General features: G+C 41.4%; 1 protein-coding gene across 1 annotated transcript in view, besides 1 other annotated feature; it reads right to left on the minus strand.

The window, feature by feature from the left end:
• DIRAS2 (DIRAS family GTPase 2) overlaps window positions 1-14193 on the minus strand; it is a 32993-nt gene extending 18800 nt beyond the window's left edge. Inside the window, exon 1 of the mRNA NM_017594.5 lies at window positions 14121-14193. The gene's annotated coding sequence lies outside the window, so the exon portion shown is untranslated. The remainder of the gene's footprint in view (window positions 1-14120) is intronic.
• Window positions 14132-14181: a silencer, noted in NCBI's record as "silent region_20021". NCBI's record gives its function as "represses an Ori minimal core promoter by ATAC-STARR-seq in GM12878 lymphoblastoid cells {active_cell/tissue: GM12878}" and the evidence as "EXISTENCE:reporter gene assay evidence [ECO:0000049][PMID:35858748]".

Below are 16295 nucleotides of genomic sequence, written 5' to 3' on the forward strand. Positions count from 1 at the left end.
ATCTCCCGGGCTCAGGTGATCCTCCCACCTTAGCATCCACAGTAGCTGGGACTACAGGCTCATGCCACCACACCTGGCTCACTTTTTGTATTTTTTGTAGAGACAAGGTTTCATCATGTTGTCCAGTCTGGTCTCGAAATGCTGGGCTCAAGCAATCCACTTCCCTCGGCCTCCCAAAGTGGTGGGATTACAAGTGTGAACCACCTTGCCCAGCCTAAAAATATATTACTTTTTTTTTTTTGAGACGGAGTCTCGTTCTGTCGCCCAGGCTGGAGTGCAGTGGCGCAATCTCGGCTCACCGCAAGCTCCGCCTCCCGGGTTCACGCCATTCTCCTGCTTCAGCCTCCTGAGTAGCTGGGACTACGGGCGCCCGCCACCACGCCCGGCTAATTTTTTGTATTTTTAGTAGAGACGGGGTTTCACCGTGTAAGCCAGGATGGTCTGGATCTCCTGACCTCGTGATCTGCCCGCCTCGGCCTCCCAAAGTGTTAGGATTACAGGCGTGAGCCACCACGCCTGGCCAAAAATATATTACTTAAAATTAATTTCATCTTTTTACTTTTTAAAATGTGGTTACTACAAATACAAAATTACATATGTGGTTCACACGGTCGGTACTGCTGGAGAACATAAAAACAAATCTCTATACTCTTTCCAGCACAGTTTAATAACACATAATGCTTAGTCCAATGTGTTACAAAATTTAAATAAGCTTGATTTTTAAAAAATGCTTAGAATCCTCTTTTGAGGTTTTCTATTAATAGTGAAAGGCAAAAATCCACGAGCCACTGGAAAAACATTTTCCCGCTGTGGTAAAATATATACAATAATCCACCGGAATGTATGGTACAAACTAAAATTCACTTCTTTCTCAAAATCTTATGGGAAGACATATAGAAAAAAAAAAAACTGCTGACGGTGTGAAAAAAACCAATACAGTTGTTCCTTTGTATCTGCGAGGGATCGTTTCCAGGACACCTGTGAATACCAAACTTTGTGACACTCAAGTCTCTTATATGTAATGGAGTAGTACTTGCCTATAACCTATGCACATCCTCTTGGATACTTTAAATCATTTCTAGGTTACTTATCATACCTAATACAACTTAAATGCTATGTAAATAGCTGTTATGCTGCATCATTTAGGAAATAATGACATGAGAAAGAAAGTCTACATGTTCAGTACGGGCACAACCATCTTTTATTCCCATTTTTTTTTCAACTGATTGAATCTGCAGATGCGGATGCCACAGATACAGAGGGGCCAACCCTATTAGAAGTTACACACAGAGCTTTGCTAAATAGTTAGGCAAAAGTACAAATGTTCCCAATAAACCTCAGCTCATTTATGATTTGCTAGAATGATTCTCTTTCAACAATAAGATACTTTGATACATATATTCTTCTTTCAGTGCTTATTTATGCACTTACCTCTGTTCTTTTTCTCTCTCTCTCTCCTACTCCCTACTCGAATATCAATATCTTTGTCTCAGTCAATAGCAACAGGAAGGCAGGGACTTTTGGTTCATTCTCCAGCACTTCCATGCCTCTAGCCCAATGTCAGGTACATCAGAAACACTCAGCACATATTGACTATTTGCTGTGGAAATACATTTTTGTGTGTGTGATCCAACAAAGGAAAGTTGTAGCAGCGAAGAGAATTCAACCATAAAAAAGTAAATAAAGTGTTTTGAAAAACTCTGCTTAAAACCACTCAAAGGTTGGCAACGGCAATTGAAATAAAAACTTACACAAAGATATGTGATAACGTGATAGAGGTGAGTTTACTGCATCATTTATCACTGCACTATTACAGAAAAGATCTTGAAGCCAAAAGTAGGCAGAAGCTACTGGATAGCATGCACTTGGATATGTTATTTTTCATTTATAAAAATCAGACTTTTAAAATACAATAGAGTCTTTCCAATACTTTACATGGAGATGTGCAGCAACCATGAAAACATTTTCTATCACACAATGGTTTGCTAGTTACTCTGTAGCAAAACAACAAAAAAAAGAGTTGCAGAACTAATATCAAGGTGCGTATTTTTCTTTTATACAAAAAGCGCTGTTTTAAGTTTATTGATGTTTTCTGCTAGGTAGGTCTTCAGTAGCATGCTATATAGCAGAGCAGGTATTTTCCAAAAATATGCATACTTTCTTCATCCCTGTAATTGAAAGGTGAGAGACACAGTACCTGCTTTGGAAACCTAATCATCCTATAGAGACAGCGTTTTGGAAAGGGACATATAAAAATGATTCCACCCTTACATGAGATAGCCCACAGCAATGTAAATGTGTTCTTAAAATTAACTCTCCAATCAGCACAATTAAGAACCTGAAAATCAAATTTAAAAACTAATTTTAAAGGCTGTCCAAATGCAGGATTTCCTTGAGTGTGGAACCATTTGACAAAAATACATGAATAAAATATATTTTTATTACGTATCAAAAATATGTAGTGAGCATCGAAGATGATGAGAGACCAGGGAAGGACTCCCTGAAAAGTTGATATGTTAGCAAAAATTTGAGAGAGGTAATGGCATGAACTCTGTGGAAACCTGTGTGTGGGTGGTGGGGTTCTTCTGGCAGAGAGAGCAGCAGGTACAAACACAGACGCTTGTCCAACATGCTCAAGACACATGGATAAATTCTTGAATGGAGAGAGGAAAGCAGATGAGGTCAGCAAAGTAAAGGGGCCGGGACAGGCAGGTCATGTAGAGCTTTGTAAGCACAGGGAAAAGGTCAACTTTTATTCTAAGAAGAACAGGAGACAGCTGGAGGGTTTTGAGCAGAGAAGTGATACGGTGGGACCTCCATTGTAAAAGTACCCCTTTGAGGGCCTGCAGGCCAAGGGTCAGGAGCGGAGGCAGGATTCCAGTCAGAAGTCTCCAGCAACAATCTTGATACGTGCCAAGGGTGGCTTGTACCAGGGTAGAGGCAGCAGGAGAGGCAGATCAGCACCATCACTGCAACTAGCTCGCCCATGAGAGAGCCCACACCCTATCTTTGCTACTCTTCCTTCGCTGCTACTCTACTCACTCAGTCAGTGGGGGCATCTGAGATGCCATATCATTCATATACCTGCACCCTCAACTGCAAACCCATGGCCAGGACCTCTCCCTAAAACTGCCGGCTCATATACCCCTCTCCTGCCTCAACATCTCCCCCTGGGTGCCATGCACACATCCCAAATAGGACATGTGCAAGTCTAAACACCCTGTAACACCCGAAACTGCTCCCCTATAGTTTTCTTTGCCTCAGTCAGTAGCAACATTATCCCTCCAGTCACCCAGGCCAAGAACCTTGAAGTCCTCCTTACCTCCTCTTGTTCTCTTATACTTCAAGTCCACTCCATCAGCAACATTTGTCAGTGATATCTTCCAAACTCTTCCAGACTCCACCATGAATCACTTTCTCCATTGTTAGCAGGCTCTCCAGGCATTATCATCACTTACCTGCATGACTGCAGCAGCCTGCTGGGTGATCAGTTTGCCTCAGGCTCTGAGCCACTCCAGTCAATCCTCCACTCAGGCTGCAGGACACGTCATTCCTATGCTCAAAACCCTCCATCATTGGCCCTGTCTCCCTGACAGTAACAGCTAAGGGGCTCTGCTCCACACCTTACCCTCATTCCCACCATTATCCCCCAGCTCACTCAATTCCAGCCACACTATATCCTTGCTCCTGGACTCACCTGGCATGCTTCTGCCTCAGGACCTTTGCCCTGGTTGCTCCCACTACCCAGACCCTCTTCCCCCAGGTAATCAAAGGCCTCACTCTCTTGCCTCCCACAGGCCTGTGTTAAAATATCACTGGCTCAATGAGAATTTCCCTGACCACCCTATCTCAATTTTCAACCCTATCTTCAACCCAGTAGTCTGTGGCATCTTCCCACTTTATTTTCTCCAGCTTACATTTGTTTTAGAACATAGTATGCAATTTCCTTTTTTAAAAAATTTGTGTTTAATTCCACTATATTAAAAGCTCCTTAAGGGCTTTTTGTCTGTTCCATTCATTCCTGTCTCCCAGTACTTGAACACTGCCTGGCCCATAAGAAGTGTGCAAGAAGCATTTGTTCAGTCCATGCATGAATCTGTGTTTTGCTTCTAATGAGCACACTGGGAAGGGCAGGCTAAGCGACTTGCCTTAGGCCAGAACAACGTAAGCAAAGATCTCTGGCTTCACCTCTACTTTGCTGTAACATGTGTTTCTGTGGGCTGGGCAGGATCTCAGATGGGGCTTCCAGGCTGCAACCACAGAACACTAGTGCAGAACATGCGGCTATTTCACTGACAGGGCAGTGCTGCTACTTGGTGATATCCATGGCTCTCTGTTGTAGACGGATTAGTGAAGCCAGACCAAGACCACGTGCCCCAGGCAGGCCCTGGGGAAGGAGACAGCACGGAGCCTTTCACATACTGGAAGGAGAGTGCCACCGTGGGTTGCCAGGGGAAGCCATGTGAGGAGAGTCTGGAAAAGAGGCCATGCTGACATCACAGGCGGCTTGTAGAGGGCAGAGGGCAGCCACTGAAGGGGCCCTGGCTTCCCTGTCAAGTGGACAATTTGGTCAAAAACAAAGGCAGCTTGGGCTAAGGTGAGAGCAGAGGAGGCAGAAAACAATTATGGTGACATCAACAGCAACTAGTGATGGGTCGGTGGGAAAAGGGGTTGAGGTAGACTGGAGGAGAAGGAAGCATCAGAGAAAATTCCTAAGGTTTCCAACTTACAGAACTGCATAGCTAGGATGAGATGATTTGCTGAGAGAATCCTGGACAAAAGACAGGTTTTATGGGAGGAATCATTGGCTTAATTTTCAGGATGCAGCCCTCCAAGTGCCTTTGGGACAGTCAGGGGCTCACATCAGGTAGACAGGTGGATACATGTCCAGGGCTAGCTATAGCATCTGGGATAGGAATGCACATTTGGGAGCTACCTGCATTGAGGCAGGGATGGAAGCCAAGTGTGTGGATGAGATCGTTTGCAAGAACAAAGAGAAAGGAGTGGATGACTTGGACACAGCCTCAAGAGACTCCATAATTTGATGTTTGGTAAAAGCAGTGGATCTGCTTTTGTGAAATGGCACTAAGAAGTGAAGTCAAATGAGAACTGGCGAGTGCCCACTGGATGCAAAGCAATGCAAGTCACTGGTGAGCCTGGCAAGAGGCGCTTCAATGGCACCACAGGGTAGAAGAAGATTGCAGTGGATTGAGAAGTAAGCATAAAACGTAGAAACTGAGATAGGCAGCTCAGAAACACTTCCTGAGACTTTGGTTGTGAATCAAAGGAAAGATTTGAATTGGTGGCTACATGGTACACAGTTTTGATTTGTTAAGTTTTTAAAAATTAATTTTCAAATACAGATATATAGACATGTATACTTTTTAAAGAGAAGGTAACAGCTGAATTTACTAGCAAGATCAAGTGTAAGTTCCTGCTGAGGGTCAAAAGGAAGTGCTATGGTCAGAGTGGGGAGGCTCCCTCTGGTCCCCCTAGAAATGCAAGGGTGTCCAGTCCAGAAAAGGTCCTCCTGTGCCTGTGGAGCATAAGAAGAGTGATGGAAAAAGAGTGAAGTGACCTTGGATGATATCTGAACATGAGGTCAGAAGGAAGACAATGAACCAGGGGCCCACACCCTTGCTGAGTGAAGAACAATTTCCAGGAGGTCAGAAGAGAGCAAGGGCATACAGTAAGGACCTAGGAGCCATTAATCAATGAAAATTTATTTGCGTCTGCTCCATGGTGACCGGGCAGGTTAGCAATAGGAGGGAATAATTACCAATGTGTCTAGAATCCAATGATCAATAACCTCATACAGTCCTAATACCTGAGGAGCTCTTGGCAGGCTTCCAGTCAAGGCCAGGATGCCCAGGATCTTTACACAGATGAACATCTCAAGGCTAGAAAAACAAGAATATCAACGAAGACATGTTCTTTCATATCCAAAACCATATGAATTCAGAGTCAGGAACTCCTATGGGGAGATGAGTCTAGTCAACAGAGGAAAGGAACATTGGCAAAAGGAGGAAAGTGGATTTAACCAGATAAAAAATAGAGTCCCAGTTGGTCCAATGAAAACAGAAAGATGTATAGGAGAAAAGGGAACATTTGAACATTCATTTGAGAGTGTGAGCTCTGGTAAATTAGAAAGGGCTGAAGCTGAAGCCAGAATTCCATCCAGAAATAAAGTACAACTCTAAGACAATGGGCTTCGTGCCAAGTTGTAAAAGAGAGGAATAAACCTGAGACACTGAGAAAGAGGAACCACTCAAATATTCATCAGATAGCAACGACCCAAACAGCCTGAATCCTTATTACCTAGCTAGAATCCAGAGGTTCTAGGCAAGTTTCATCTTTAAGACACCTTTTGACTTACTTAGCTCTTAATAGCCCCGTTTTACAGATAAGAGAACTGAGGCTCTGGATGGTTAAAGTCACAGAGAATTGTTGCACAACTAGTGACAGAATCCACATTTGAACTCAAGTTTAGGTAAGTCCAAACACACATGGAAGAGGAGCAGACAATCACAAGAGCCTAGGGGACCAGAAACGTGGTCTAGGCTTCGGTTAAAACAAGGAAGCTCTGGATGAACATTTCACGCCATGCAGGTATCTGGGGACAGAATCTTCATTAATGTTTTAGTGCACCTAAGCATAGTAATCATAGCTAATCTGGGAAAGCACTCAAACCAACCCAAATTAGTAAGAACTGAACAAGGAGCGCTGGATTCTAAACTGTTGCAGAAGGAAGCCTTTCAGACTAACCTAAAATATTGCGAAGCAACTTTGAAACTCATAAAATATTCATTTAAAAAAATGCAATGATAATGTTAGGCAGCTTATAATGGATAACTGTGTATGTTTTCTGACACATCAGAAATGCTCTACATGCTTCATGTAAGGTCCACACCAAAAGCTGAACTCTGAACAACTACACCACGAGGTCAAGAAAACACATGTTTGGAGGAAAACATGGGTTATACTTACATCATGGGATATTTAACTCATGATTTGGATGTAGCCTTAACACTAGGGGCAAAAGTGTCCTCATAAGCCTGATCAGAGAAGGCCCAGGCCATGGGAGACTAGAGTCAGAATAAGGAGTCTCATTTGTCAGTCTTTGCCGGTCTTAAGAGAAGGTAATGGAAGACAAGATAATATTTAGTATTTACATGTCTTTCAATGCTGGGGTAAAAGACTCACAGTTTCTAATTAGTATAAGTTTCCTATTTAGTACGAGTGCTACAACCAAGAGGTCTGGGTTCCATCTGCAGTCTCAGGATTCCAGGGCAAGACCCTTCTGCCCCGAACATAGCTTCTGTTTATATAATAGAAGTGGAACAATTCAGTGGAATCTGGAATTGTCCTAAAGGATAGAGAATACAACTGAATATTCTTTTTTTTTTTTTTTTTTTTTTTTTTTTGAGACAGAGTCTCGCTCCGTCACTCAGGCTGGAGTGCAGTGGTGCGATCTTGGCTCACTGCAAGCTCCGCCTCCCGGGTTCACGCCATTCTCCTGCCTCAGCCTACTGAGTAGCTGGGACTACAGGCGCCCGCCACCACACCCGGCTAATTTTCTGTATTTTTTAGCAGAGATGGGGTTTCACGGTGTTAGCCAGGATGGTCTCCATCTCCTGACCTCGTGATCCACCCGCCTTGGCCTCCCAAAGTGCTGGGATTATAGGCGTGAGCTACCTGCATTGAGGTAGGGATGGAAGCCAAGGGTGTGGATAAGATGGTTTGCAATTATGGTGCCCGGCCCTGAATATTCTTACAGAATGCCTCTGTAAGAATAAACATATCACCAAAAAGTTACCATGCAAAAATCAACAATATTTTGTTTGAAATGCAACAAAATATGACAAACTTGAATATTTCTACAATGTGGTAACTTCATTGGCTCATTGTTTCACATTAACTCACAATGGCAACTTACTCAACATGATTTTTTTCTCAATCACCAGAAATGGTCTCTTGTCAAAAGCATAAATTGAATGGTAGTGGAACATTTAGCATGTGACTAAATGATTTGAGTGGTCATTGCTAAGGGAGCAGAATTGTGATCAAGTGTTAACAAAATGGTACATAGTCAAAGAGAGACAGATATCAATTGATAGCTATTTAGTCAGAGAGATAGACAAATACATGGAAGTATGGTATACACAGTGTTTCATGTACAGTTGCTCCTCAACTTACCATGTGGCTACAGTCTGATAAACCCCTCATAAGTTGAAAATATCACGTCAAAAATGCATTTAATACAACTAACCTACTGTATACCATAGCTTAGCCTTGCCTACCTTAAACGTGCACAGAACACCTTCATTAGCCTACAGTTGGGCAAAGTCTTCTGGCAACATAGTCAATTATAGAGTATCAGTTGTTTCCCTTGGTGATCATGAGGATAACTAACAGCTATGGCTCACTGCCACTGCCCAGCATAGTGAGAGAATATCATAAAATATATCACTGCATATCACCAGCCCAGGAAAATATCAAAAATTGAAGTACAGTTTCTACCGAATGTATGTAGTAGTCCCACCATTGTAAAGTCAAAACATCATACATTGAAACATTGCAAGTTAGGAGCCATCTACAGATTTGTTCATATTAGTATATATAGAGCCAGATTGTGTTTTTTAACAGCTTCAGAAGACTCTGCTGAGGGATAAGCTATCATTTATTAACCACTTTCTTGCTATTTTCAGTCTTTTGCTCAATGAAAACCTTATACTTAAATATTTCATGTTTCTGAGCCTATCTGTAGAGAAAACTCCTGTAAATGGAACTGCAGAATCAAACGGTAGGTACACTTCAAATTGGGTAGAGATGGCCTGTTGCTGTTGAAAATTACTATCAAGTTCTCCATCACCTGTCCCATGAAGGTGTATGAGTGCTATTTCCCCAAACCTTGCATAATATGGTGTATTATCAAACTCTTTGATCCCTTCCATTGAAACAAGATGTCTGTTTCTCATTACTGAATTAATTGCATTTGCTTAATTTGGGTGACATTGAGCGTCTTTTCTGTTAAAAGTGATTGGTATTTGTATCTTTGAAACCGGTGTGTTCTTGTTCTTTGCTCGGTTTTTAGTAGTTTGCAGGGATGGTATTATCTTAGATTAAGGCCGTGGCTCTCCGGCTGTGCTTGAAAGATCAGCACTGTCCCCTTCACTGGGACCTTGTTAGAAAGCCTGTTCCCCGTTGAGTCAGATCAGCTGAATCAGAGTCGCATGGGTTTGAAGTCAGCAGTCTCAGGCTTAGCAAGGCCATCAGGTGATTCTGATGCTTACAAAATTTGAGAACCACTGTATTTTAAAAAATTAGGCCTCATCTGAAATATGTTGCAAATATCTTTCCTTTGATGTTATCTATTTTTAATTGTCTTCTGGACAGAAATTTAAAATTTCTGTATATCCAATTTAACAAACTTTTCCTTTTTAGTATTTCAGTTTGAGTTCATCCTTAAAAAGTCCTCCCCTACTCTGAAACCACTAAAAATTCTCCCATATTTACCTCTTCGTTTTTTATGTTTAAATATTTGTTACAACAACTTGATTTATTTCTGCATCTTGAAACTATTATGTATGTGGAGGAATTTAAACTAGCATTTAAAGAATGGAAGAACAAAAAAGAGAGGCACAAAGCATTATATGTAAATCTGGCAAAATTAAAAAAATAGATAAGCACATGGTTTTCATGATATTCAGAGAAATTCAAGTTCTTTTCAAAATCTAGGTTACCCAGCCATTTCTATTATCCAGTAGTTCTATCTCTTCTTGGCTTGCAAACATTTACACAGACCTTACTCAAAAGCTAATGTCAGTTTTACATTTTGTGGTCTGCTACCATTCCTTCTGTAATAAGAACCCAGTGAAGGCCAAAGAGGTCCCAAGAGAGAAGCACAAAGGTAAAGAGAAGGAAGCAAAAGGCTTAGTCAATCCCTTTTTAAGTGTCAGATGATTGTTTTATAGGCAAGGAGGCAATGAAATACTCCATTGATCATGTGTGTGTGTGTGTGTGTGTGTGTGCACGTAATTGGGGTGGTAGGTAGCTGGGTGATAAGGCTGGGGAGATGAGTCTAAGTTTGTACAAAAATGGCACTGAGCTGGATTTTTTTTATGCAAATAGAGAGCTGAGTGGACTCCACCTGGATTTGCCCTCGATGAAGAAACCTGGATTCTGATCACTTTTCCTTTTTGTTCCGCATCTTCTAGAGAGAAACTCCCAAACTCAAAAGGCACAAAAGTGCTCCAATAAAACAGAGTGTAAGGATGACAGAGGAAGGAAATCTTCCTCCTTCAAAGGCTCCTTTGTCTGAGCTCTGATGATTATCTAAAGATGGTAAAGGAGGAAGGGCGTGTGTGTGTTTATTATGAGAAGGCCTAATGGAAAGTTCTTGCGTTCTTATTTTCTCAGAAAAATAATCACTTTGCAGACATTAATTAGCTTTAGAAAAATATTGCCCCAGATCCTCTCATACAAAACGCTGCCCTCTTTAAGTCTCCTATCATAATTTCTGAGACAGAGAACCATGTGATGGAAATTGTACCCACCCCACGAGCACTCACTGATCATGGAGGTGTTCAGGGATTAGATAAAGAAATGGACATATTTTCATTAAGGTCATTAATTTCTGTGTTTCAAGAATCCGGTATTCATGGGTCAATTATAAAGCATGAGATTTCACCCTAAACTTTATCTAATGGTGTCAAATAGAGACAAACATTGAAAATACTCATACCAGTAAAGCATAATACTAAAAGATCTGTGAAATATATTTTATTGCATAGTACAGAATAGCCCACTAGCTGTTCATTAGTTTTATAATGGGTTTGCTGCTGCTTGTTCAGTAAAAGAAATTATATGAGAATTGAATGACCCATAATGGGACTTGCGGGCTAAGTTGCTGACCTCTGCAATCAAGAATAAGGTTGAAGCAAACCCGGGGGGGCAGTACTTCTTGGGATAGAAGTTAGTAGTGGTGCAAAATGATGATGCCCATCAGGCATACCTGTTTCCTTTGTTTCTGCCACAATAAACCCCTAGGCTGCATGTGAGTTGGATCCCTCGTATCTACTCACTGGTTATTTTTCATAGAATCACAGGAATTATTTGATCTAATCCTTTTGTCTTTCTGATAAAGAACTAAGTAATAGGTTCAAGACAGCACCACAGTTAATGGCAGGAAAGAGAAGGACACATAACTCACAGCAATCTGAGATCATTTGTATATTTATTTTTGATAGCGCTTAGTTGGTGATGGCGCCGAACATGTTAGCTTTTAAATTACCGTCAATTGAGTAATGATCTATAGCTGTGCTGGACAATACAGTAGCCATCAGCTGTGTGGGCTATTGAGCACTGGAAGCACAGCTAATCCAAATTGAGATGTCTTGTAAGTCGTCAGCAGGCATTTAAAAAGGTAAAATATCTTACCAGTATTTTGTATGGATTATATCTAAATGGTCATTTTTTATATGCTGGCTTAACTATATCATTAAAATTAATTTCAGCTGTTTCTCTTTACTTTTCCATTACGACCATTAGGACATTTTAAACTGTGCATATGACTCACACATTTCAATTCTATTGTACAGTACAGATTTATAAGAAAACACTTCACTGCATTTAGGAGACAGCTATAAGGAATCTCTTTCCTAAATTTGCCAGTGGCTGAGAGCAAAGAAGGAGAGAATGAGGGAGCATTTGTTTTTATTACTTCATAGAGTCCTTCCCCGTCAGTGAGGAGAGGCTTGCAAGCCATGTCATATAATGAAAACTAAAGCATTATTTGACACCAGTTAAATAACTTTCAGTTCATGTTTAAATATGTATGAATTAGTAAATTTAACTCTTAAAAAGCCATCAGCAATTTTGACAACATAAGAACCATCGTATTCCCTTTTGATTGAGCAGCTGTTTTCCTGGAAAAATCATAACCAAAATCAGTGTCCTACAAATCAGTTCTGCTCTTAAAAAGACATCTGTCCACTGTCAATACTTATACCAGGTAGATAGACTGATGATAGATAGAGGCAATCCACCATATGAGTGAGAATTGGGGATGGTTGTTATCTGAATTGAAAGTTGCAGATCAACACCAAACACTTTTTTTACTTAAAACAGCTGGCAGGCAACCACTCCACCCCAGACAACTGAATGGTCCTCTCACAAAGAAATTCTCTGGTGGAAAAATGTATGGCATTTGTCACAGGGAAATGATGATTTTGCATAAATAAATAGGTTAATTTTCAACATATCAACTCTGGTCTCCAAATTAGAAGAAGAATGAACAATACTTTTTATTATCACAGATACACTCTCTTTTTGACAAAAGCACCCCAGTTGTTTTTTAAAAGGTTTTAATTTTTCAGTAAGATATGCAGTATTTACCACTGAAATAATACATTTCCAATACAGTAAAAGTCATGTGTGGTGTATAGGATACGAACAACATACAATAAATAATTTTTTTAAAAAAAAGGTCTCCTCCACTCTTCTCATGAGGAAACTGCTTTGCTGAGAATGCTGGGTTGTTAGACACAAGCTGAAAAGTGACTTCCACAACTTGGCATTCAATCTGTATGTTTTCTGAGTCGCCTCTTAGGAACAATTCTATTAAAGCTGTAACAAAGAAAGATTCTGGAGGTTTCTACAATAACCATGAACACATACTTCCCATCTGCAGGGATCACTGAAGTGTGAGCAGCAGTTCTGTGCCTTGGTATAGACAGCAATACCCCCTCCTTTCTCCTTCCTTTCCCTGTGCTTGCCCGGGACTATTACCAAATTAAATGCCATATGTTAAATGGGATGAAAATGTTTCCTTGCCACTGTATCTTTTATTTCTATAAAATGAACTATGTGTCTTCCTGTCCCCAGCCCACAAAGCCTCCTGCATTTCCAGAGATAGATAAAATTGTGGACAATTTTCAATTTCAGACAACAACCAAGAAGAAAAAAAAGTATGATTCCCCTACAAATTTGTTAAATTTATTCTAATTTTATCCTCCCCTTTTCTCTCCCTCCCCCTCCACCTCCTCAAATCCAAATGTCACTGGAAATGGAGCACATTGTGACTGATTTGAAATGTAAAATGCTCCAGACTTTTAGCGTTACCTGGAAAATCTTCCTCAAAAATAATATTTTTGAAAATTTTTAGTTTGAAGCAGAAAAGTTCTGATATGCTGGACTAGCTTCTCACATCTGAAGGGATCCATTTAAAAGATAACGAGGGCAAATATGTAAAATAAATTCCTAGGGAAGGCAAGCTGTGTCTCTGCACAGTAGGAAGAAACTGAATTCCACCACAATGTTGTATTCCAGCATTCAATGGATGTAACAGATGATTCACAGAGCTTCTAGTTTAAAAGTCTCCCAAACCCACATAGAATGTGAATTGGAGTTTTAAAGAGGAAAAACAGCATTTTTCAAGAGAGAAGGAGAGAGGCAGGTTCCCACAACGCCAGAAGCCAGCACTGCTTTTCAGGCGAGCCTGGGAGCTGTCAGCAGTCATTGTCATCTGATGGGAAACCACAGTCTTACAACTAAGGACTGGATGCAGCCCCTTGCCCATCTTCTGCTCTTACAACAAGGAAGCGGAAAGGAGCACATGTAGATATCATGAAACACATTCTTTAAGAAGACAAACAAAAGATTTAGACAGGTCTCGGCCAAGCGCATGAAGTGAAGGAGTCGAGGATGAAAGCATGCCGAACCAAACGGCAGTCCCTAGCGTGCTTGGCTTTTTTCTCACTTTAGACCACATCTTCTTACTCTTTTCCTAAATCCATTAAACTTCCACATTAACAGAAACACCTGCACAGTAGAATTTTCCAAAACGGTAAATCCTGTTTTGGAAGGAATCCCTAATAATACGTAAGATACAGATTTTTAAAAAAGAACATGTTTTAGACAAGGACAGCATGATGCTCACCCTCCCTAACAAGGATACAGAAATGCAGATTTCTTCCCCTCTTACCAACTCCAGTACACGCTGACTCGCCCTCCCTGAGAGCGGTAATCCCTTTCCAGGGGCTGGCAAACAATCATGCCAAAGCCGCCCGTGCCCCAATGCGGACGCAGCGAAGCCACGGCAGAAGGGGGAAATCGGTTACCTGGGGAAGAACACAACTCCGCTCAGAGCTTCTTCAGAGCTCCACTCGCGCAGGACAGGGCAGCGCAGGGTGTGTGGATGCGGCTCCTCCCGGAGGCAGGCGCAGCGCACTCCCTCCCGCCGCCGTGACGATGCTGTCAGCTGCTCGCCCGCCGTGCGCCCTGCACCGCCCACCGGCCGTGCTCCCTGCGCCCAGCGCCCTCGCGCTCCACCCGCTCGCAGCCCCTGCACCTGCGCTGGCCTGAGCCGCTCCGGCCTGGCACTGTCACCGCCGCTGCACGCTCCTCCTACTCTCTTCAATCTCTGCCTTCTCAGATGTGCCAACTGCTGCAGAGGCTGCTGCTCCTGCTTAAATGGCGCCTGTTCGCCTCCAAAGAGCTTTTAGGTGCCACCTACTGCATGCTCTTGGAATAGATGGCGAGGACTGGAATTTTCTGATAATTTAATGAATTAAAATAATTCCATTGAAAGGGAACCAGATTCTTTTGTTCGCATTGCGAACTATAATCGCTACTAACCATATAGACTTTTTTTTTCCATTTCCAGATTTTAACTTTTAAAAACCGACTCATTTAAAGGCAGACGAAATGCCCTGCCCCATACCATAGCCAACCACACAGTGTAGATTAATATATTCTAATTTAATAGGATCCTATGACAACACCGCCATTGGCAAGCTTGGATTAGAATTGCTTTTTCACTGAGTGGTTTCACATTAGCATTTCAAGCAAATGACCACGTTTATTTCCTGACATTGATAAACAATTTTGTCAAAGACGCGTTGATTAAAAAACAGGTGAATCAGCAAGAAAAAATATTAATGGCTAACAATTCTGTGCAGGCATTTTTAAAAGTGCTTGAGCATAACATTGATCCATGTTAAGTTTAAACTACAGACTGAAGGAAGATTTCTTCTCTTGGTTATATTACTCATTCTTTTGTAATACCAAATATGCTAAAAGACTTGAGCAAAATTAATATTCTGTAGTTCTTTACATTTGATTTTTGTTGTAGAATCCTATTTATCTGTTTTAATCCCGTCTTCACTTTCTAAATAATTAAAACATGTTAACCTTTGAAGTTCATTTCCATAGTAAAATTCTGCCCTGCTATTCACAGGAAATATGCTTTTTAAAAATCATACTTAAAAACTACGCATTTTACAACTTATAGTCAAGAAAACTTATTTTATTCCCCAGTTCATCCTAATTCTGGCCTTGATCCTACAGCCATTGGAATATAAAAATAAAAATACACTCTTTTTACTAAAGTCATTTAAGGCTACTTCAACAAACCTGCCCCTACACTAATGATGTCTAAAAGCAGAGTGGTCACCCTGTCCTCCACAGTCTCCTCTTCATTGCAAAGGAATATATGGCCACTCAGAAACCCATCCCAGAGGAGGCTCCAAATATGATGACAGTGGATTCTGAGCACTGCCTGATGCAGTTTCTGGGTCCTGAAACAACCTTCCAGTTTTATAAGTCAGGATGTTGTTTTCCATGACAACCAAAATGTAGGTTATCAGGTTAAATGACAAAATGGAATTTAAGAACTAAACAAAGGAGGGTAAAAAGATTAAATAAGCAAAAATCCAGTGCTAGTATGGAAGCAGGGAGAGCAAATCAGGAGCTGATAAAGAGAGCCAGTTCTATGCTGAATATCCCACAATGCAGAAGAAGCCTGCCTTTTGCCACATGCCATCATTATTTGTTCTGAGAATGTGAAGCAGAGGCCCAAAGGCCTCATTTAAACAAGGAGCAACTCACTTAATATGATGTCTCTGGCCCCTTTGGCACTCCCCACAATCCCTAGACTTTCATCAGCCAGAAGGAGCAGATTGCTCCCAAATTCCTCTTTTAACTTCCCCTTAACTTACATCCTTCTAAGAGCCTGACCCATTTGCTTCTAGGCTAGGGGCTCCTGACATCTGCCTGCACATTAGAATCAGCAGGGGAGCTATAAATACATTTTAAAACAAGGTCCAATTTCCAGTCCAGCTCATGCCACAACTGGCACAGGACCTCCGTGGATGGGATGCAAACATCCATATATTTCAACGTGTTTATGTGAAGTTGCTGTTCGTGTCCCCCAAAAATTCATATGCTGACATTCTAGTTACCAACTTGAAGAGGTGGGACCTCTGCACAGAGCTCTCATGAATGGGATTAGTGCC

This window comes from Homo sapiens, chromosome 9, assembly GCF_000001405.40.
Source record: "Homo sapiens chromosome 9, GRCh38.p14 Primary Assembly".
NCBI classification, from domain to species: Eukaryota; Metazoa; Chordata; class Mammalia; order Primates; family Hominidae; genus Homo; species Homo sapiens.